Consider the following 22,693-nt stretch of genomic DNA (forward strand, 5'->3'; position numbering starts at 1 on the left):
AGAAAACTAATAGAGTAGGTAACAGAACAAGTGATATGGAGCAATGGTAAAAATCATGAAGGTAGTAACTCAAATGACTGAGGCTTGTAAAACACTGTCCCACCCCAGGAGACAGAACTACTAGACCCAGTCACGGAGGAAAGCCCCTGCCTTGGGTCCTGCACATTAATGGGTATCAAATATCACAAATACACACATCCACATCCACACATACACACAAAATGGGCATACACAGGCCCGTCTATTTGGAATCCAACACTGAGTACTAGCAGCACACAATCTATAAGTCCTAATATCTGCTTGCATGGCCAGTGTCATTCAGGTGCCAGGGAAATGCTTCTGCCATTCGTTACCTGATGTCCTTGTCTTAGTCCATTTGGGCTGCTATAAAAAACATACTATAAAGTAGGTGGCTTATAATTAACAAAAATTTATTTTTCACAGTTCTGGAGGCTGGGAAGCCCAAGAGCAAGATGCTGGCCCCAAGATTTGGTGTCTGGTGAGTGTCTGCTTCCTCATAGATGGCTGTCTTCTCACTGTAATTTCATATGGTGGAAAGGGTGAATAAACTCTCTAAAGCCTCTTTCGTAAGTCACTGATCCCATCAAAGGTTCTACCTTCATGACCTAACCACCTCCCTAAAGTCCCACTCCACAATACAATCACCTTGAGGGTTATTATTTCAACATACAAATTTCTGGGGGACACATACGGACCAGAAGGTTGTAAAGCTTTGTGTGTTATGCTGCTCCTGGCATCAGAAACACAAAATGCCCCAGAATGCAAGGAGGACTTGGGGTATGGAGATGGAGTTTAAGTAAAAGACAAACCAAATAACTTGTGAAATCTTCCTCTCAGCATGAATACAATAGCTTCTTGCATAACAAAGTATAGTTTCCCAATAGGGTCACGCATCTCTTTTGTTGCTTCTCTTCAGGTTCCAATTGCGGTTCTGGGAAATACTAGTGAATTCACCCGGTAAATGCAAAAGTTACACACAGTGGCTGAGGAAAATTCTGCAATATTAAGCAATTTATTTTACTCTTAAATATGTATGCATACACACACACCAATTCTTGATATTGGCAACTAATTTGATGTTGAATGCTAACAGTGCAAATACTTACAATTTTGCAAGATATTAAATAAAGTTTAATTAAATATTTAAAATGTCAAATAACACAATAGGGATGTAATAAACAAAACAGCCTGGAGAAAATTCTATAGGGCAAACAATGTGGTTCCTTTAACAAACAAATTGCAAAGAAAAGCAAGAGATAGAGAGAAGGACAAAGAGAAAAATCTAAAGATTAAAAGAGATTTAGATTATCCAACAAATTGCAATAAGGGACTTTGTGGTGGTTAATTGTATGTGTCAATTTGAGTAGGTCACAGGGTGCCCAGATTACACATTGTTTCTGGGTGTGTCTGTGAGGGTGTTTCTGAATGAGATTAGCATTTGAATCGGTAGACTCAGTAAAATAGTCTCCTCCCCAGTGTGTGTGGGCACCATTTAATCTGTTCAGGGACTGAATAGAAAAAAAAGCAGAGGAAGGAGAAATTAGCCCTATTCTTCCTGTCTAGCTGCTGGTGCTGGGACAACTCATTCCATTTGTTTTCCTGCCTGTGGAATAGGATTTAGGCCTTCACCTCCTGGGAGCTGGAGGTTGCAGTGAGCTGAGATAGAGCCACTGCACTCCAACCTGGATGACAGAGTGAGACTCTGTCTCAAATAAATAAATGAATCATAAAACATAAACAAATTAGCCAGGTGTTGTGGTGCACACCTGTAGTCCTAGTTACTGGGGAGGCTGAGGCAAGAGGATTGCTTGAGCCCAGGAGTTCACAGCTTTAATGTGCTTTGATTGCACCATTGCACTCCAGCCTGGGCGACAGAGTCAGACCTAGTCTCTAGAAAAATTATTGACATGTTTTAGATGTATTAATGATAGTATGATTATGTTAAAAATCTACCATTTAGAGACATATAGTGACATATTTGCAGATCAAATTATATGATAGATGGGATTTGCTTCAAAATAATGGTGGGCTGGGAGCAGACAAAATAAGATTGGCCATGAGCTGATCAATTATTGAAGCCAGATAACTGGTATGTGGGGGTCATTATACTATTTCGTTTACTTTTACATATTTGAAATTGTACATAGTATGTTTTTACAAAAGAGAATGATTTTTAAGTAAAATTTTAAAGTTCATTTTAACATAATTTTTTTAGATTTTTATGTTATTACTAACTTTTGCCCTTCTAGTCTTAGTAGATTTTTAAATAATTTAGAGAGTAAATTTTGAAAGGTAATCATTTTAATTGGAAAAAACTGACATTTACTTGAATTTATATTTTTGATAAAAATATTTTCTAGTATGCTTTGAGTACAAATGCATTTTCTTTTTTTAATCCTTTAGATTCTTGAAAATTAGAACAAAGTGAGAAAATGATAGAAATGGAAAATATTAAAGAGGGAGTTCAGAAAAGAATAAAAGGCTAAAAAGAAAAACAGAAAGATACATTTTCCAAATAGGTGATTTGTTTAATGTTTGAAAACTGAAAACAATGAAAGAGAATAGGATTGTGGTAAACAGGACCCACATAAAATTCATGAACTATATATTATATATTTGATGTTTGGACATCAACACAATAAAAATGAGCAAAACAGTTATTGTCATCAAGACCTCACTTTGAATCGATTAAGTAAAATCCCTATATTTTCACATCTTTTCTTACATGAAGATTGATTTACCAATAAAGACAATGAGACAATGTGAGGACCTCGGTTTGACTCTCGCCCTGACCCCATGCTAGGAAGATTTGGGAAAGAAGGCTTTCTGGAGATATGCCATGCCAACTGTCCATAAGTGGTATACATTCTCTTTTAGAAAACAATTATCCAAAAAAAGTTCAAAACATTGTATTTCATATCATAAGAGTTCAGAGAATAAAGAGAATTGTGTAGTGCTAATAATTTTAAAAATTGGAGAAGATTCATGGAAGGAAGCAGAACTTGATCTGAGCTTTGATGGAAGAAGGAATTTCATTAGATGGAATGGAGAAGTGTTGTAGAAAAATCCAGGTTCTTGTCACATGACCAGGAAAGATTAGGCTAGCAGACACTTTGAAGGGTGAGGAGTTATGGGTGAAAAGGAAAAAGGAAAAACAACACAACAAAGCGAGAAGGATTCCTGTTAACAGGCCCCCATCTCACAGATTGAATCCCAAGTTACCACACAGGAACAGGAGGGGCCAGGCTCCTCCCCCTGCAAAGGGCTTGAACTTCCGTGGCTCCACCCCATCCTCCCAGTGCACAGGAGATTTTCTGGGGACCTTCCCTCTTATCTGCCTCTTGCATCTATCAGAAGGAAGGTCATTCCAGGCACAAGAATACCTAAAAGTATAAATATAGGAATGAAAATCCCAAGTAGTCTGTAAGATTCTGATTAATGGAGACAGGCCTCAATCAATTTCACACCATGAGTGAAAATTTAAGCTGGATTATTAGTCTAGACCTGCTAAGTAAATATCTTGTTCAAGAACCGAAATATTATAGCTACAACATGGCTTGCAGAGGAAATGAAATGGAAACCTATAAATTGAAAAGTGTATAACAAGAGTGCAAATTCAGAGAACTAAGTATAGTTTCATTTTGGGGCTGTGCCATAAAGGTGACTTAGGTAGACCCAAGGGCTAGGGATCTGTGTGTGTATGTGTGCGGGCCTCTTGTGATCATTAACTTTTGAGGGAAAAAAAAAATGTTACATGACCCCGCAAGTAAAAATGATTAAGGTATTTCTTGTAGCTATTTCTGTGTGTCATAAAAACAGCAGGATTTTTTAGAATGGGCTGATGTTCTTTATCCCAGTCCTCCTAAAGGGAATTAAAGAGCTGAGACCAGTATAATTTATGGGTCTGATGGGACGAAAACACAGCACCAAAAGGAGCACATACATTCCCAGTGACTCATTTGAGTCTCTATCTAAATGCAAAGCCTGGTCTTATTTTTTGAAACCAGCTTTCTGGTAGACTGTTTAAGAGTTAAGGGATTACAAGAATAAGTCATTGATCTCTCATCTCTAAGGCTAACACAGAATTTCATATTACTAAAACCAGACATTGCCTTTAAACCCACAGATTTTAGCCAGAGGGGTGGAGAGAGAGTGTTTTTGTTTGCTCTGTGATGATTTGAGAGCTGCATGATATTTTTGGTAAGAAAGGAATGAGAAAACATTAAATAGTATAACAGCACCTCCCCCATGCTGTTTCTGAAAAGAGCAAATTAGAAATTACCTTGGACAGAGTATGCAAAATGAAATGACCCAAAGCTCTTTGAAGGGTGGGCTATCTTTTAAAATCAAGAAGCATAATTTATTGCATACTTAAAAAAACAACAACATTGTTTTCAGTCAGAACAATTCCAGGTGAAAGATGAGGTACTTATAAATGAGATATTTCCTTTGCTTTGTCAATGAAATCAAGCTAAATAAATATTTTACAGCCCCTTTGACAAAAGTTTGTAATTAAAGGAATTATAGGTAGAGTTAACCTACTGCTAATGAAGATGAGGTACCTAGATAACATAAAGCAACTGAGGTTGTAAACAAATGTACTAACTTTACACATCTTAGCGAGTATTTTCTCTCCCACAGGGGTTACCCTGGGAAGCTATAGGATTAAATAAGGCTGTAGCAATTTCTTAGAAGAGTTTCCAGCTCTTCGATTCAAGCCTTCAGGGACAGCAGGCTATTGTTTTGACTGTCTTCAAAAATAAGGAAGCTTCAATGCATGAAAATAGAGTTATATTTTTGAAAAATAATCAAAAGTCCATTGAAAGCAAGTCCAGAGACCAGGGTAGGCAATTCATCTTAGTAATACTATTTTTACTTAAAAATAAGTTGTACTAATAGGGTGACTTTTAAGTCCCTTTGAAACAGGATCTAAAGACAATTTTCACAGAATTACAGAAATAATTTGTTGAAATAAGTGTATAAAACCCTAATCATTTTGAAGGGAAAAAAGATCAGTCTTAGCATACTATAGACATATTTCCTACTTAAACATTCTAGTATTCATACAACCATTCTGAGAGGGCAATATGTATCAAAATATACAATGTGCATATTCTTTTACCTAGCAATTCTACTTCGAAGACATTGTCCTAAGACACTTGAAGAAATAAAGACACATATGCGAGGCTGTTCACTACTGAATTGGTGAAAAATTTTAAACATATTAATTGTCATGAATTAGGGATTAGTTAAATAAAATGCACTGTAACTACAGTAGAAAACATGCTGTTGTTTAAAAGGATGGTAAAGTACAGAGGCCATGCAGATTTTATGTCATGTTTCAACTGAAATTAAGCACTGTGTTGAGAAGAATTCTGAGGTTGAGTTTAGTCTCAAAGAAACAAAACTGTTACCAATGAGTAATGGATGCAACAATAGCAGGATAAAGGAAATGGCAGCATGATGACCAGGTTCTTGCCATCCCTAATGTTGCAATCAGTGAGGGTCAAGACAGGGAGTTCCGTAGGAGAAGTTTAACAGGGAGAGCTAGTTACACACATGTTGGAAAAGCTGAAAGAGAAAACAGGGAAAGTGGGACAACCCCCAGATTTACCACTGCAGGAAGCCACACCACCCCATAGTGCCGAAGACAACTGGAGAGAGGCTGTCCAAGCAGTCACCCAGAGAGCTCTGTGGCAAGGCCATATGGCCTGAATCAGAGTCACAGAAGAGATGGAGCCCCTGCCAGAGACCAGAGCTGTGTTCTTGGAGTGAAATCTGTGCAGCTGCACCGAGCTTCCCACTTGGAAGGGCCCCAAGCACAAAAGTGTGCTGGTTTAATGCTTTGCTGCCACCATCTTGATTTTTTTTTTTTTTTTTTTTGAGACGGAGTCTCGCTCTGTCACCCAGGCTGGAGTGCAGTGGCGCGATCTCTGCTCACTGCAAGTTCTGCCTCCTGGGTTCACGCCATTCTCCTGCCTCAGCCTCCCAAGTAGCTGCGACTACAGGCACCTGCCACCACTCCCAGCTAATTTTTTGTATTTTTTTTTAGTAGAGACGGGGTTTCACCGTATTAGCCAGGAAGGCCTCGATCTCCTGACCTTGTGATCCGCCCGCCTCAGCCTCCCAAAGTGCTGGGATTACAGGCGTGAGCCACCGCGCCCGGCCTTGAAATTTTTAATAATTTTTGAATGGCACCCTCCTTTTCATTTTACACAGAAGCCCAGAAATTATGTAGCTTGTCCTGCCAGAGACTTCCACCAAAACAGAGACGAAGAGAAATACCCAGGCTGTTCCACCTTCCCACCCTTCATTCTCCCACTGCTTCCCACTGGACTAAAAGTAAGCTCTTGTGAAAAAGAAGTGTAGTTTACAGGGACTGGCCCTAAGAACAAAGGCACAGCAGGGGGATCTGAGTGCTAAAAAATCAGCCCACCCACCCAAAGTAAGCAGGTATGTGTTAGCATGGGCAGGTACTTAAATACCTTAAATATTTTTAAAGTTATAGGTCATGGAACAGTGTGTGATTCCAAATGTGTATATATTTACATTTATTTTTAACAGTCAGAGGTATATACACCAAGGTGTTTAAAAGATATGAGGAGGAACTTAAACCAAGGTGTTAAAAATAGTGGTAAGCAAATAAGCCATTTTCTTTACTTTTTGTTTAATTCTATTCTCTGACATTTCATAGACATAGATGAACTAAATAGACCTATATATGTATTTACATACACTATATATATTATGATATAATAGCATGATTTTTAATTTTTAAAATATACAAACAAGACCTGATTACCTTTTTATTATCAAGGGAGGCTAGAACAGAAATGTAGCCACTAACTCAATATTTTCAAACATGGCTGGGATATAGCACAGGATGAGAACTCAGGAAACGGACCTTGGTTTGGTGACTGGCAGACCTTTCTGAAATACAGTCAGTAAATTGGTGAAGTCCCAAGCTTGATTCCAAGTTGTGGTGGGGAAATGTAAGCAGCCAATGAAGGAAACTCCTTTCAAAGTAGGGCAGGCAAAGGAAGCAATGGAATGATGTTTTCACAGGATATTACAGCTGGCAATCAGGGCTGACCTCCCCATCTCTCAGACCCAGCATCCCTTCGGGGTGGGCCTAGGGTATTGGGCCATTTCTCTTGTAACTTGTTCCTGTTATTTTAGTTTCTTCTGAAAGCCCTGCTAGTAATGGTGGTGGAAGGCCGGCACCTGGCGTGTGCATGTGATCTATGGCACAGTCTAAGCCAGACTTCCACCCCCTGCTTCCTGTCCCTTAGTGTCTACATCAGGCTACAGTTCAGTTTGTTATTTGAATTCAAGGCACTTGCAAATATCCAGTGCATACCCAGTAGGAAAATAGGATAGAACTTCCATTTTGAAAAGTGTTGAATTAGTACCATAAAAAGTAGGTGATTTATATATAATTGGCCATTTTTAAAAAAGAAAGGCTACAGATGCCTTCCTGCTGAATAAGTGACCATTTTAAAAGTTAATTTAGCCTTAAATGTACTCATTTAAGAAATTATTTATCAAGATGTTAAGTTCAAAGCCAGCCACTCTCAGCTTTTTAAAGTGTTTGAAGTTCTGCGAGTTATCTAAGCCGTGTTTTCATAATGTTTCAAAAACCCATATGGGAGACAATCACACTTTTCTCTTTCCGTCATTTCTTAAAAAAATGCCCTGAGAAATATTGCCATATAGAAAACAAATGATATTCGATGCTAAATATTGTTAAAGCAATCTTAAAATGAGTGTCTTTACATTGAGTTTCGTTCTCTCTTAGCAAAGAAGCTAAGAACCCAGCAAAGAAAACTCTTCATAGTTTTCTGTGTAATAAATCTATCAGATGGAAACTTCTGAAATTCAGCAAGGAAATTCTTGGAATTGGGATCAGACAGTATACTCCTACGTTGGTTAATATTGCATTGTTGATTCCAAAAATATAATCCTAATCTGTGTTTACTCATTCTTCTCATAGGGAGTCATTAACCCTGCTATCCTGCTTTCTGTTAACGCACATGTAAGTCTCACCAGTACAAGCAGCTTTTCCCTTGATCACAGGTGCATCACATATAAACCTGCCTTCCTCTGTTTACCCACTTTTATCTCCTATCCACAGTCTGCTCAGCTGCGGAGGCAGGAGACTATGTAGCAAAGGGCCATGAACGTGACACTTTCCTTGAAACATATCAGTTAAATTTTACATTATTGCCCTGATTGAGAGGGGAAAAGGAAGAGTCTTGAAAAGGTGTCAGATTATCTTCTTTTGTCAGAGGTTAAATGGATAATTAATTTGCATGTCTGCTTTTCTACAGCCATTTTACACCTGTCTGATTGAATAAATTAGAAACCATGAAAAGTGATCAGTTGCCTTATTTGGATTTTACCGAATAAAGATCTTTGAAAATGTTTATCTTTTAAAACGATTGCAAAATTATAAACAGCTGGTTCTTGTTTCCATCACAATCAGCCTTAACTTCCGTTTAATCTATGAAGCATTGAGTACTTCCTCAAGGTGCCAGCAGCTAAACCTAGACTCTCGAGTTGCTCACCGGACAGTAACGAAAGGCAGAAGAAAGGTCTAGAGAAGACAAGCAAAAGAAGCTAGAAGGAGAAGAAGGAAGCTATTATTAATAGGGTATCCAGAGAAGGCTTTGTACAAGGAGTGTCTATTGAGTCTTGAACCAGTCCTTAAATAATGGGTCTGATGTCAACAGAAAGAAATGGCAAGGAGAAAAAACACTGATCATAGGATGAGCAAAGGGAAGTTATAGGAAACAGAAGGAAAAAGACCAGGGCCACGGTGTAGAAGACTTTAAATGATATAAAATGTGTTTTGAGCCTGATTCTTTAGGCAGAAGGGCACCAAACATTCTTAAACGTGAAGACATAGTGAGTTGATAGCCGAGTCTAAGAAAGAAAATTCCAAGAGGAATGTGGAAGACAGGTTGCAGGGAGAGATGCCCCTAGTCAGAAAAACAGTGAGGGGAACTCCAAGGGCACAGGCAAGAGAAGGGGACTCCTGGCCTAAGACAGAAGGAAGAGAAATGGGAAGGCAGTAAGAAGGAGTTAGGCTCCTGAGAGCATGGTAATCAATTGCAGGTAGCACAAGAGAAAGGGAGGAAAGGAAGATAACACTAAGATTTTGATGGTGATTTTGTTACTATGTCATTAACAGAATTAGAAAAGACGAGAAGAGAGAGTTGAAGAGGAGATAATGTGCAAAGTTTAAAAACAAGAGGTCAGAGTATTAATGGATATACAGGTGGAAATTATCAATAGAGTTGTGAAAAGGTAATTGGAGCTCTGGAGAAAGGATTGGATAGGGATGTAGATTTTGGGGTTACTAGCATAAGGATATTTGTTGAAATAAAGAAATAAAATAAATCTCCAAGATGTTGTAATCTTAATCATATGGAATGCCTACTAGGGACTGGGAGAAGGAGGAAGCACATGAGAAGGATCCAGCAGAAAGGAAGAAAAACCAGAAAAATGCAGTTCCTCAAAAGTTAAAGGAATTTTTTTTCCCCAGTGTGTAAGGGGGTGATAAAGCAGAGGCAATCCATATAAAAATGTGTTTCAGAAGCTTAGCAGTGAAAGAACAGATAGACAATCAGTAGCTGGAAGAAATATCAGATTTGAGTATTTTGGCAGTAAGTATTGTGGAAATGGAGAATTCCATGAAGTAGATAGCACTGAAGATGCAGAGAGATAAGGACTGCAGACAGCAGTGAGGGGATAAGATAGGCTCTGAAATGTTCCTGCAAAAGCCAGAGTCAAATCCTACTATGGGGGTTATCAAACCCTACGGTGGTGGTCATCAAACCCTATGATGGTGGTCATCAAACCCAGTGGTCCCGCTTGAGCTTAAAGGACTGCCCTGAGCCCATCTCAGGCCTTTGCAAGGGAGTCTATGGAGCTCAGAAAACAGAGAACTTTAGCCAGCCTAAATTCTTGCAACAAAGAAGGAAAGAAGAGCAGGCACCTTGCAAAGCTCAAAAGATAATGCTGGAGGACTGAACGAGAAGATTTGAGGTCCTAAGACAATATAAAAATGAAAATGAATGAAAGCAAAGCCGTACACGAAGGGTCTTGCTTGGAAGAAAAGGAAAATAAAGGGAGCCTCTGGGGAAGAAGCCATCAGCTAGAGTATGTGGGAGTGGAGCCAGTCAGTTACAAAGGTTTATACTAGCCCACAGGGAGAGTGTGATAGGAAGTCAGATGAATAACAGGGTTTCTGAGCAGTATTCAGGGCACAGCTGAGAGTAAAGAACATCGATTTGTAGTGCATCAATTTATATATAAAAATTATACCATGGACACGAGTTTTGACTATCTAGCCAAGAGCTAATGCACACATACAATATTTTGTCTCCGGTAATGGTACTTAAATTTTTTTAGTAAACTCCGACAGTCAGACAGAATCTTAACTCGACCTCCCTCCTGATGCTGGTGCATTTAGTGAACCCTGCCTCATTGCCTTTGATTCACTCAGCATTTCTTGTTCATTTTTAAAAAACCAGAAGAAATTGATTTGTTTTCCTTGGCAGTTCTGACATCATCCTACTTATAAAGTTGTACTCAGAAGAAAAGGAAGGCAAAAAGGGTTTCCATCTTAAATATGCTTGTATTTTTGGAAAGAAAGATAATCTTTTAGAGCTATATTCTTGGACACCTTGGGTGGAAAGTGAGTAGTGCTATTATTGCAAGTGATCCACATTGAACAAGTGGGACCGTGTTGGCTCTAAGCATTGGAGAGCACCTTCATATGTCCTGGTCCATGACAGCTGTCAAACACCTACCTAGCTCTGAGCCCTCTGCCCTCCTGTTGGATTTGAAGAGTAGCAAACACAAAGTGGCAGATAAGCAGATGGTGATTTGAAAAGCATTTTTCCCTGAGGGAAAAATTTATGAACAATGGATTTTGCTCTCACCTAAATTAATTTACTAGAAATCTTGCGATCTACTGTACCTAAGACAAATGGATTGAGGTGGAAACAGTTATTTGAGAGATGGGGAGTGTATTCATGAACATTTTCCATTGCCGTATCTCTCTCTGTAGAATTATTAAAAAGCATTTGCCAGTTAACGTTTACTGTGGACCCCAAATGACAAACATTCCTTTGGACTGATGGTCCATTAGAGAAGGACCATTGGTTCCCAGGACCAAGACACTTATTTATCTCCAGGCCACTGATACTAAACACTGAGACTCCAGCTGAAAAGGTTGTGGAAGTCAATGGTAAGTCTAATAATGCCTTTGATTCCAGTTCCCAAAAAGCATCTAATATTCAGTTCTGCATATTCAGTCTTCATAATGCCAGCAACCACAATTTGTATTGCTCTGACCAATTGTACAGCTCTGACCTCATTGTCCTTTTTTCATTCAACAGATCCTCCTGGCATTTAGTGGGAGGAGATATAATTATGGTGTGAGACCACCATAATAATGTGAGGGCATGAAACCACAAAAGCATTAAATCAGAAAGCCTAACAGTGGCAGTCAAGGAGACAACCCAGACCTCATACCTGATTGGGGCCAGAATTCAAAGCAGACAAAGCAATGCCCCCTCTCCTCCTTTTGTTTATTCCATTCCAAGGCACTCATTTTCCTACTTCTGCCCTATGGGACCCAATTTCTGAGCAATGGTTCTTATTATTATGCTTTTTATTTTTATCATTATTGTGACAAGAAGCAGTTCCCAATGGGATGTAGTATTTACTGCCTTAAAGGTGATGTCTTGTTGAATTCTCACATACGCTGTGAACATGTGAATGTACGTAGTAGTTTACTGATGCATTTCAAATGTATTACAAGTGCATACACATCCATCCACATGAACCTAGGACCATTTCATCACTAACTTCCTGCCCTTCACCCTAGTGGATTGCTGTTTAGAACATAAAAATGCTTTTGGCTTTCAGACAAGAAATATTGAGGAATACCTTAGAAAGTGACAAACGAAAGACATGCTACAGTCTTCTAAGCCCATTCTGTCCTTTTTGACGTATCTTAACTTCCCTCTCACCTTATTCATCACGATGCCAACCAATACTGTAAATGGAGCAGCCAATCCCAGATTCTTGCTGCTGTCCACACAGTAAGAGGAACAAGAGTGCCATCTACTTTGACTGACCAATGAGTAATTCAGGTGTCATTTTGAATGAGAGGTTTTCAATTATATACATAAAAGACCCAGAGCATTGAAGTGATACGAGTTATTAGGATCTATAGAGCTGTATTCAACCCATCATAGTCCAGTACTGACTCCTCTTTCAGCTGCACTCTGAAAGTTAAATTCTGAACTAATGCTGAGTAAACACAAGAGGCAATGGCTAAAGAGGGTGCAAGCCCCAAACTGAGATTTTATCATTTCTGGCATTAATGTATCTCAGATATTTAAAGAAATACTTGCTTAATTGACAAATGGTTGTGACTTTTGCTTTGGCAACTCCATAAATGAGAAACCAACTTTATTGGAAAGGGAAGGAGTAGATCAATTGCTAGGTGCAGAACTTAATTCCATTGCAGTTAGGTAGGAGACAAAGAAAAAAAAAGGATTCCTATTGTACTGAGAGATTCCTTGTAAAGGGGTCTTGAAAGGTACAGGTGGGTCCTCATCCAGTATCCTAACACTAGTAGGTAAGCAAGAAGTAGAATTTTTTCTCACTTAAGAACTCATATTTTTATCTGGTATTTTATATTGCCTACCTCTTATGCACTCACGCTTTCTTCTGTCAAAGAGTGATTATCGGTTTAAAAAAAAAAAACCTGAACTTTCAGAAGACAACTAAAATGTGTCCACCAATGGTGTCTGAAACTACATAATATGGAATTATGTAAACAGCACTAGGCCTGAAGCCAGGAGATCTGAATCTGTGTCTTACACAAGTGGTATATGGCAGAGCTGCATAGTAATTTCATACTGTGTAATTTCCGAGACCACTGGGGGCCACAAGCTCTGCCATATACGATTTGTATAAAGCACAGATTCTCGGCCTCTTAGAACAGGTTTCTACATCTGCAACCAAACGTCAGAGAGCCTAGCTAGACTTTTGTAGTAAGAAAGCCATGAAATAAGCACTAGTGAACCATGTAGTTCTACACAAATATTAGGGGCTCTTTATTATCACAATAATCCCTCCATTATTAATACTGTCTTCTCCTAGTAGTTCTTTCTCAAATGAACATTTTTTAGTATAAAGATTAAGTGTCCATCCCAATGTCCCAAAATAATGTTGAGGCCACTCAATCAATGGTGGTTGCAATACTCTCCTATGAGATTATGGTGGCATATGGCATAATGCACAGCAAACCAAAGTAAAAACCAGAGGCCAGGGATTGATTCTTCATTTGACTCTCTCCCTCATAATGCAGCTTCAATTTTCTCATCTAACAGAAAAAATAATACTCTGTTTCTTGAGGGTCAAATAAGACTTTTAAAAATGCAACTGTTTCATAAACTTGGCACAGTACATAGATGCAAATTATTGCTCTCCATCCTTTTATCATACTGGAATCTATGCTTTCTGGTACAAAATGCATGAACAATGCGTTTATGATCATTCTCATTAGCATCTGAGTGAAAGAAGCAACATATTTTCCATTAATGAGCCCATTTATTTATTCTTTTCTTTTGTAGTGACAAGTGAAAGTTGTTGGACAAATGATCTGTGAGTGTTTTGTCCCGCCAAAATGGCTTATAGGATGAAGATATTTGAAAACTACAGGACTAGAAGGTCAATTTTTCACTCTTGACTGAAAAAAAAATAGAATTATCATTCCTTAAAGAATGTAGACAAAATATATCAATGAAGTATTCTCTTATATTTTTACCTAAGGCATCATATCATAGGCTACCAGAGCTAGAACGCACCCAAACATCCTTGATTAAAAAACAGAAATAGCACAGAAACAAAACCTCAAAGCCCTACTACAGCTATAGACAATTAAATCCCCTGCTCAAGGTCATGTTGACAGCTTTGTCAGGGCAGAGTGGGGATCAGAATTCTCCTGTTCCCTGACTCTCTGTCTAGTATGTTTCTCATTGCAGCTGGCTCCTTCTAAACCACTGCACAAGACACTTTTGGTGGTTATTATAGCTGTTTGTTTCTTGAAAAATAATGGAAACCATGTGATCCAAAAACCTCTTTGCTAGTAAACAAAGGCATTCATTGTATCTATGAAGCAGGCTGTTTTTTAACTTAAAAAAAAGTTTTGGCTGTAGAACCATGCAGAATACAAGGAAATCTCATTTCAGCATCCCTCATTGAAAGCAACTGCTGGGAAGGGGTTGGAAACCAAAGTTATGTATACAATAGGCATTTATCCAAGGAAAGGATCTCAGGGAAATTAGCATGTCTTAAATGATGTTATTCCTAAAATGTCAATCAGTCACTACAGTATTTGCTTCTCTTATGGTATTCTCAAAATGGATTATTGTCTCTGAATTTTTAATCACAATTTAGTGGTTCAAAATACTGACAGTGATACATGACAATAGCTTTTAAAAAAGTGCTCTGGCGTTCTATATTACATAAACAGAATACAATTGTATCTCTCTAGGCAGTGTCAGAATCATTCTCAATGAAGATAATAATGTTGAATCCATCTGCCAAGAGAAGGTCAAAAACATATAGGAAATAAATCATGGCAAATATGGAATTGGCTAAAGGTTAAGAATCTAAAGGACAAATATATATTTGGAAGCAAAAATCACCCCTCACAGAGGCATAACTTAAACAACCCCACCTCTGGACTCCTAAATAGCTGGCTTACATAACTACATATGTTTCCACAAGTATTGCAATATTGAATGGAACAACGAATGAAAAATAAAATTGGAAACGATGTTAGAAACTTTTAGCTCCATTATAGCTTTTATTATTTTGTATGGTGCCTCAAGACTATCTATTAACCTGCTTCTTTGCACTAGAGAAATTCAATAAATAAATGAGCTGATTCCAGAAATGTCATGTCAGTGACATTCTAAGAATCGTTAGATAGCTTGGTCATAACCTTGTGGGTAGCACACAGGAAAAGAATTAGCCTATAAGCAGTAGATGCAGACCAAGAGTCCTAGAGGCTGTGCAGGAGTCTCAAAGCTCATTGAGCTGTTGCATTGCTTGGTCCTCTCAGCATCCATCCAGAGTCTCAGCCCCTTGCCAGTACTGTAAGTAAGTAAGCTCTGCTTGCATGTTCATAGACAAAATAAGCATGCTTTCCTAGCTCGTGGTGCCCTCTCCCAGAAGGCAAGATTCTCCAATGCCTCTTGGGCAGACTAGGTATCCACAGGGAGAAGAAAGAGTGGCATCCCTTTTCTTTGGTATGACTGGTGTCTTTTGCTCTTATCCACGGATCTCTCAGTCATGTCTAAACAAATCATCCTAGCAGATAGTAAGGCCTTGATTTCCTCTCTGAGTAGACGTCAGTTTTTATTCTGAGCTCCTTAATTCTGAACTGGCCTGACCAGGGCCTCCTGCTCTGTACAAAACAGCATTTTACTCCAGTGCTTATGCTTATTGGACTAAGCATGCAGTTGAAAAACAGGTGCTGAGAAATGACTTCTCCTAATCACCTTTGGTTTTTCCACATTTCGATTATGAATTTGAAACTCCACGCTCACTGTTTCAAGCTTTATGTGTATTGAGTGGAGGGGTTAGAAGTGGGTTGATGTGTGTGCATGACAATCACTTCTAGCAAACCAGAGCTATGACCTTTCTATGTTTGCATAACGCTGATCACACTGACTATTAACTAGGTGCATATAATCAATCAAATTCTAAAACACATGAATTCTCTTCTAGTCAGCAATACTTTCTTCTTCAGATCTCAGGCTATGACAGACACAGTGTCTGGAGATGATAAACTGTATATGAGTCTGTCTCTGGCATATCACCATTTCAGCGTCTGCTAACAATACCTGCCAAGTTAGATGGGGTAGGGTAGCAATATGAAAGCAAGTTGTACATTATTCTAATAGATTAAGAAAATATAATCCCATTTGGATCATTTTCTGGGCCTCCATCCAAACCATGAGGTAGCTTTGCTAATCACTAAAATGTACAGGGAGAGGGTGGGCTTCTTTTTTCATAACTATATTGCATTTCTAAAGGGCACTGTATTCATTTCTTTATGAGTATAATCTAATCAGAAAAATAATTGATTTATAGGATGATTATTCCATAAACAAACTTGCCACTGTTTTAGACTGAAATGACAACCCTCATCCCCATTTCAGGTTTTCAGTTTATACATGTCCTCTAACAATTCTTTTCAGCAAATATCTTTAAATATTTTCAATTGCTTCTTTACTGTTTCAGAAAATTTTGGCCACCTTGCAGTTAGAGTCAGGCCCATAAAAACAAGGGCTAATAGGAGTAACTATGATTTGAGATGACTAGAAATGCAACTTAAAGTCAAATGAACACTTTATACATGCCAGGAGTCGATAGAAGATACAATGATTATCCATTAACATAACATTAATTTATCATGTATGCCCATTAAATAATAATAATATGGGGTGGTTCACTAGGATGCCCTTTGGGTTACTACATTATTTTCACTTTTTATTTTTGTGCCAACCAGTCCTGGGGTCAATGATAAATGGATTTATTGGTTATGTTACCAAGATGATATGGAGATTGTTATAATTAAGCACATAATCAGAACATCCAGGCCTTCAGGAAAAAATAATTTTTAATACATAAATTTTCACTGTTGTTTAAATTTCTTGTCATCCTCTTCATTCTGTGTGAGGGTTAGTTATGGGCAATGAATATCAATCTCTGCCTATTAGCTTTCCTAAAATGTACCAACCTCTGGGCTAACAATCAGATTATGTTGTTTAAATGTGTTTGCGAATTTATTATCCCACATAAATGATTATTATTTTAAGATGTAGCTGAAGAACTATTTCATATCACTGTTTCAAGGGGAAAAAAGCTTGCTTTTGCTTAAATGTGTTTTTTAAAATTTTGCAGTAGTTTGATTTTTTAAGATGGAGGATGTTTCTACACAGAAAAAAGATATGAGATCTATTTTACTATGATATACTAGGCACTGAATTGTCTGAATTATTTCATTTAATCTTCAAAACAACCCATTAACTAAATAATATTACCCCTATTTTATGGATGACAAAAAATATGGGGTTCTGAACATTAAGAAAACATATCCAAAGTCATGCAGCTAATATGCGGTAGAGCATTCAGGGCCATCAGACATGAAAACAATGTGAGAGGCTGTGCTTTGAAACTGCAGAGTCTCTGAAATGGTGTGCTGGTTAAGAAACTGATCAGTAAAGTAGACAGCCAAAGCATTTTCCTCATATAGAAAAGGGCGATTGCAAAGCTGGCTTTCTTATTTCTTATTTTATTCTTGTTATTTCCACCTTGTGACCATTAAACTAGTCTATGAACTCTTTGAAAGTATGGACTTACACTTCTTTGTTTACTTCAAAGTATCTACCACAAAGCATTCAGTAAATATTTGTGTGTGGCTTCTGATTAATAGGAGTCAATGAAACTCAACTTAAATAAAAAATGGGTCTGGCATGGTGGCTCACACTTGTAATCCCAGCACTTTGAGAGGCCGAGGTGGGTGGATCATTTGAGGTCAGGAGTTCGAGACCAGCTTGGCCAACATGATGAGACCCTGTCTCTACTAAACATACAAAAATTAGCCAGGCACAGTGGCACGCACCTGTAGTCCCAGCTACTTGGGAGGCTGAGGCAGGAGAATCACTTGAACCGGGAGGTGGAGGTTGCAGTGAGCTGAGATCGCACCACTGCACTGCAGCCTGGGCAACAGAGTGAGACTCTGTCTCAAAAATAAATAAATAAACACATAAATAAATAAATAAATAAATAAATAAATAAATTGACTGAAAAATAGAGGAGTATGTCTGATTTCAGGCCCAGTTGGAACCAGGAGTTCAAACAATGCTATCTATCTCACTATTTCTAAGATAGGTCCTTTCTCTGTGATGTCCATAATAGCCATTAGCTGTACAGGATTCACGTTTCTTCAGCATAGTAGCCCCAGTAGCAGATGGCATCTTCCCTGACAGCTGTAGCTGAGAAATCACAGGAAAGGCCCTGATTTTCCCAGCATGAGTCATGTGCCTATCCTTGAACTGATCATTCTGCCCAGGAGGAAGAGGTTTTTCAGTTGATTACACTTCTGGAGTGAGAGATGTTAACTCTAAGATTTACATCAAAATCAATTGCCACAGATGAATAACAATTTCCAAAGGAAGGGATATAGAGATGGAAAAAAAAAGTTATCCACTACTGCTTGCCTTGAACTTTAAAAATAAAAGTGAACTTTAAAAGTTTATTCTAATAATTTATTGAACAGGACTTATTCAATATACAGACAAAATACCTAAGGTCCATCGAGAAGTGACTTTCTTATGGCCACACAACTTGACGGTGGTCAGAGCTGCACATTCTATGATGTTGAAACACCTCTGATTTTCTTGGGCTTGGAAAGGGGACTGCCAAGGAAAATTAAGACAACCACAGCTTTTATGTAAGTCAACAATATCAGCTGCTTTATAAAGTTTATTTTCTGTATCGAGGCAACATGAGGGCAAACTCAAGAAAAAGCAAATTGCTAGATAAAAAGGAAGCTGAGAGGTTCTCCAAAGACCATTCTTCTCAAATCAAATTGAATCTGACACTCAGGTGGATATAATAAAAAGAAGATGATAACAAGTGGTGAGAGTGTAGAGCAACTGGAACCTTCATCCACTGCTGATGGGAATGTGAAATGGTGCATCTGTGTGTACATGAATCTTCATAGCAGCATTACTCATAATAGCCAAAAAGTGGAAACCACCCAAACGTCCATCAACTGATACATAGATAAACAAAATGTTCCATATCCACACAAAGGAATATTATTCAACTGTAAAAAGAAATGAAATATTAACACATGCTACACCTTGAAAACATGCTAAGTGAAAGAAACCAGACACAAGAGGGTACATATTGTATGATTCCATTTATATTAAATTATCTAGAATAAATAAATCCATAGAAACAGAAAGTACATTCATGATTGGCAGTGGGTTGTGGGCAGGGCTGTGAAGTACAGGGTTTCTTTTTAGGGTGATAGAAATGTTCTGGAATTAAATAGCAGTGATGGTTCATAACTTTGTGAATACAGTAAAATCCACTAAATTATACACTGAATAGATAAGTGGATGAATAGATAAGCATGGATAGATAGTTGATAGATAGATATAGATAGACAGACAGACAGACAGACAGATAGATAGATAGGAGATTGATAGATAAAATTCCATTTAGAATTCTTATTAAGTGTCTACCGTGTACTAAGTCTTGTGTTACCTGCTGAAGGTACAGATACAAACAAAACAGGTATGGCTCCTGCCTTCATGAAGCATACAGTACTAAAGGCAAGGTGTGTTTGGTTTTCCAAAGGAGCATACAAAGAGCAATGGCAACAAAGAGCAAAGTGGCTGCATAGTTAAGAGACAATTTTACAAGAGTTTCCCTTAGAAATGGACCAAAACCTGTATCCGGCATTGTGTTATCTCTATTGTTTTAACTAGTCTTCAAGACAGAGAAGCCAAGGAAGGGTATATTAGTGAGGGTGTGGCAGCTGCAGAAAACTGAGGCTCAATGCTCCAGGACCCGCTGAGGTATCATGCATTTCACATTACAGAATTATCCCCCAGTGAAGCAGTGACTTCCATCCTCATTGGTGTCATTGGCCACACAAGGACCAGGCAGGTCCTGTAGTGCTGGAAAGAGCTTCTGGCAGAGGAAAGGAGACCTACCAACACTTGGAGGTGAAAGCAGTCAGTATGCACAGGAACTGTCCACCATGGTGGCAAAATGAACACAGAAATGGTCCAAGGGGATATGAGCCAGGCATTAACAATCAATGTTCCAGAAAACATTATCAAGAATCTGGGCATAATCTCTTTCACCCACTAGTTCAGCCGATAGAAAACCTGATTTTTTGTGCCAGGATCTTCCATCCAGGTGATGGCAACATAGTAAAATAGCAGACCTGATACCTAAGGGGAGATTAAGTTTATCCACATACTTGCCCACAAACTCCTCTCTCCAGTGAAGCAAATAAGCACTGTCACATTAATATTCTAGACTAGACTTCAGTCTACAGGTAGTAGAAAATTTTCCTTGCTATCCACACTCCCAAGCTTTCACGAAAATGAGTATGTGTCATCCTCAAATTTTCTTGACATAGTAAACCTCCCACTTCTGAGATTGCTTTGCACATTTCTGCCGTATCTTTCCAAGACTCACTTTACTTATCAGAATCGAGTCATGGGCATATTTACTTAAAAGCCTAATAAATAAAAGAAATAGATGCATTTAACCTTTGAAAATGGAGAGTCTGAACAAAGCAATGCCTATGGGGACCCGTATTCTGGTTAGGAGTGAAGAAATGAGGAGAAAGGGTCAGTTAGAAAGTGTGGGCTGATAAAAAGAGGTGGTAAAAACAGGACGCTAAAATAGATCTTTGTGGACACATATTTTTTAAAGACTTGAAATTTATTTATTGTAATTTTAGTAAATTTATAGTATTTTTGAGCTACATGGAAATAGAACATATAAGACACTTTAGATTTAAATTGCTTATTTCTTACTTATCGTTTGCCGCAGAAACACAGGAAATGGTCAGTATAAGATAGTCAATGTTGACATTATTGGGCTGAGCTACAGACCAGGGAGGGGAGGCATGAATACAATGAGCAGTTTCCAAGTTAATCTTTGTATCTCTTAACACATACTTAACAAGGTGAGCTCTCAGATTAATAGGATTCCACCAGCATCTATTAGCACTAGCTATATACCTGACATTGCTTCATGCTAAGCACAGTCTTGAAGAAATTCATCGCTCCAGGTCTTAAACAGCTCATGTCTTCAAGCTTATGTCTTCATGGTCTGTCCAGTTGAAGACACACCATGAGTGTGAGTGAAGGGGGCTCATGAACATGAATGAGGTAGGCTCTAAGCATTGCAATTTTGGAAGCTGATTTGAGCAGCACCAAGAGTGGATTTATCACTCAGAGGAAATCCCAAGATGAACTATACCAGCTTTGGTGTCTGTAGTTTTCATTGTCTGTGCTTTATTGCTGACACCACTCTTCTGATAGCCACACTCTTTCCTTAGGTATTAAATGCAGTCACTAGAGTTGCAGTGTGGACAAGGTCATTAAGCACTCGGGATTTGGGGTTAGACAGCCGAAGTTTGAATCCCTTTATCTCTGTGTGAGCTTGAGCATTACTGAACTGCCTGACACTCTACGACTACATTTAAAAGGCACAAATAAAAAGAGAGACTTATTAATAGAGCTGTCGAATGATTAAATGATTTAATGCTTGTAAAGTGCCTGGCTCATCATTAGGACAAATACCTAATGCATGCAGGGCTTAAAACCTATTTAATGGGTTGATAGGTGCAGCAAACCACCATGGCACATGTATACCTATGTAACAAATGTGCACATTCTGCAAATATATCCCAGAACTTAAAGTACAATAAAAAAATAAAAATAAATTTAAAAGAAAATACAATTTAAAAATGCTATGAAAATGTGAGAATGGCAAGCATGGGTATCACCAAATTCACATATATTATACATTTTTGATAAATAAAAATCTAACTACCTACTCTAAAATTATATATGATAAGGGATCTTTTTTGACATTATAAATCTTATTTTATTTAAGAAGTTAATTATTTGCTTAGTTGAGATTTTTTTCCCCCAATCCTGCTCACCCTTAGGGTTTTGATACTGGCAATATTTTGTACATATTACTGTTCTGAAGAAAGAAAAGGCAGAATTGGAGTTAAAGAAGAGTGACAATAAAACACCAGATGGAAAATATGACACTCCATGTATGCAGATCCTGGAGAAAGGATAAAAAAGGCCACTAAAAAAGGCCACCATGTACATTTTAAGTGAAATATAATCCATGAGAGTTTCACTAGGCAATGGTCACTGCTTTTGATGAATAAGTATTTCTTTAATCATTGTAAATGTCTAATGGGTATAATAAATGACTTACACATTAAAGAAAGTGCCTGGCACATGCCTGGCATATAGTAGGTACAAAATGAATAGAATAATGATATCATTAATGTTGTCAATGTTCTTTCAGTCCAGTGTTGCTGGTCTTGGAGCCACAGACAGAGTCTTGTTTCCATCACCTCCAAGTTCTTGAGAACACCTCGTTTCAGTCCTTCAGTATTAGCAGTAGCAGACTGCAGAAGTCAGCTGGGGCTGCCCTAACAAAATACCACAACTTAGATGGCCTAAACAACATAAATCTATTTTCTCACAGCTCTGAAAGCTGAAAAGTCCAAGACCAAGTTTCCCACAGGATTCAGTTTCTGGTGAAGTCTCTATTCCACCTTCTCACTGTGCACAGGGGGAAGTGTGAGAGAAGCAGCCAGTGCTCTCTGGTGTCTCTTGTTATAAGGACACTGATCTTATAGGATCAGTGTTCCACCCTTATGACCTCATTTCACCTTAATTACTTCTTTAGAGGCCCCATCTCCAATTATAGACACACTGCAGGTTCAAGTTCCAACATGCGAATCTGGGGGAGGCACAACATTTAGTCCATAATACAGACTCTCAGTAAG

General features: G+C 38.2%; 1 long non-coding RNA gene across 1 annotated transcript in view, besides 1 other annotated feature; it reads right to left on the minus strand.

Annotated features, from left to right (window-relative positions):
- Nucleotides 1-22,693, minus strand: part of LOC105373900 (uncharacterized) — a 54,688-nt gene that overhangs the window by 4,446 nt on the left and 27,549 nt on the right. The window lies entirely within an intron of this gene.
- Nucleotides 6,993-7,287: an enhancer, noted in NCBI's record as "tiled region #7272; K562 Activating non-DNase unmatched - State 24:Quies". NCBI's record gives its function as "activates a minimal TATA promoter and a strong SV40 promoter by Sharpr-MPRA in K562 cells {active_cell/tissue: K562}" and the evidence as "EXISTENCE:reporter gene assay evidence [ECO:0000049][PMID:27701403]".

This window comes from Homo sapiens, chromosome 2 (genome assembly GCF_000001405.40).
Source record: "Homo sapiens chromosome 2, GRCh38.p14 Primary Assembly".
In the NCBI taxonomy this organism is placed as follows: domain Eukaryota; kingdom Metazoa; phylum Chordata; class Mammalia; order Primates; family Hominidae; genus Homo; species Homo sapiens.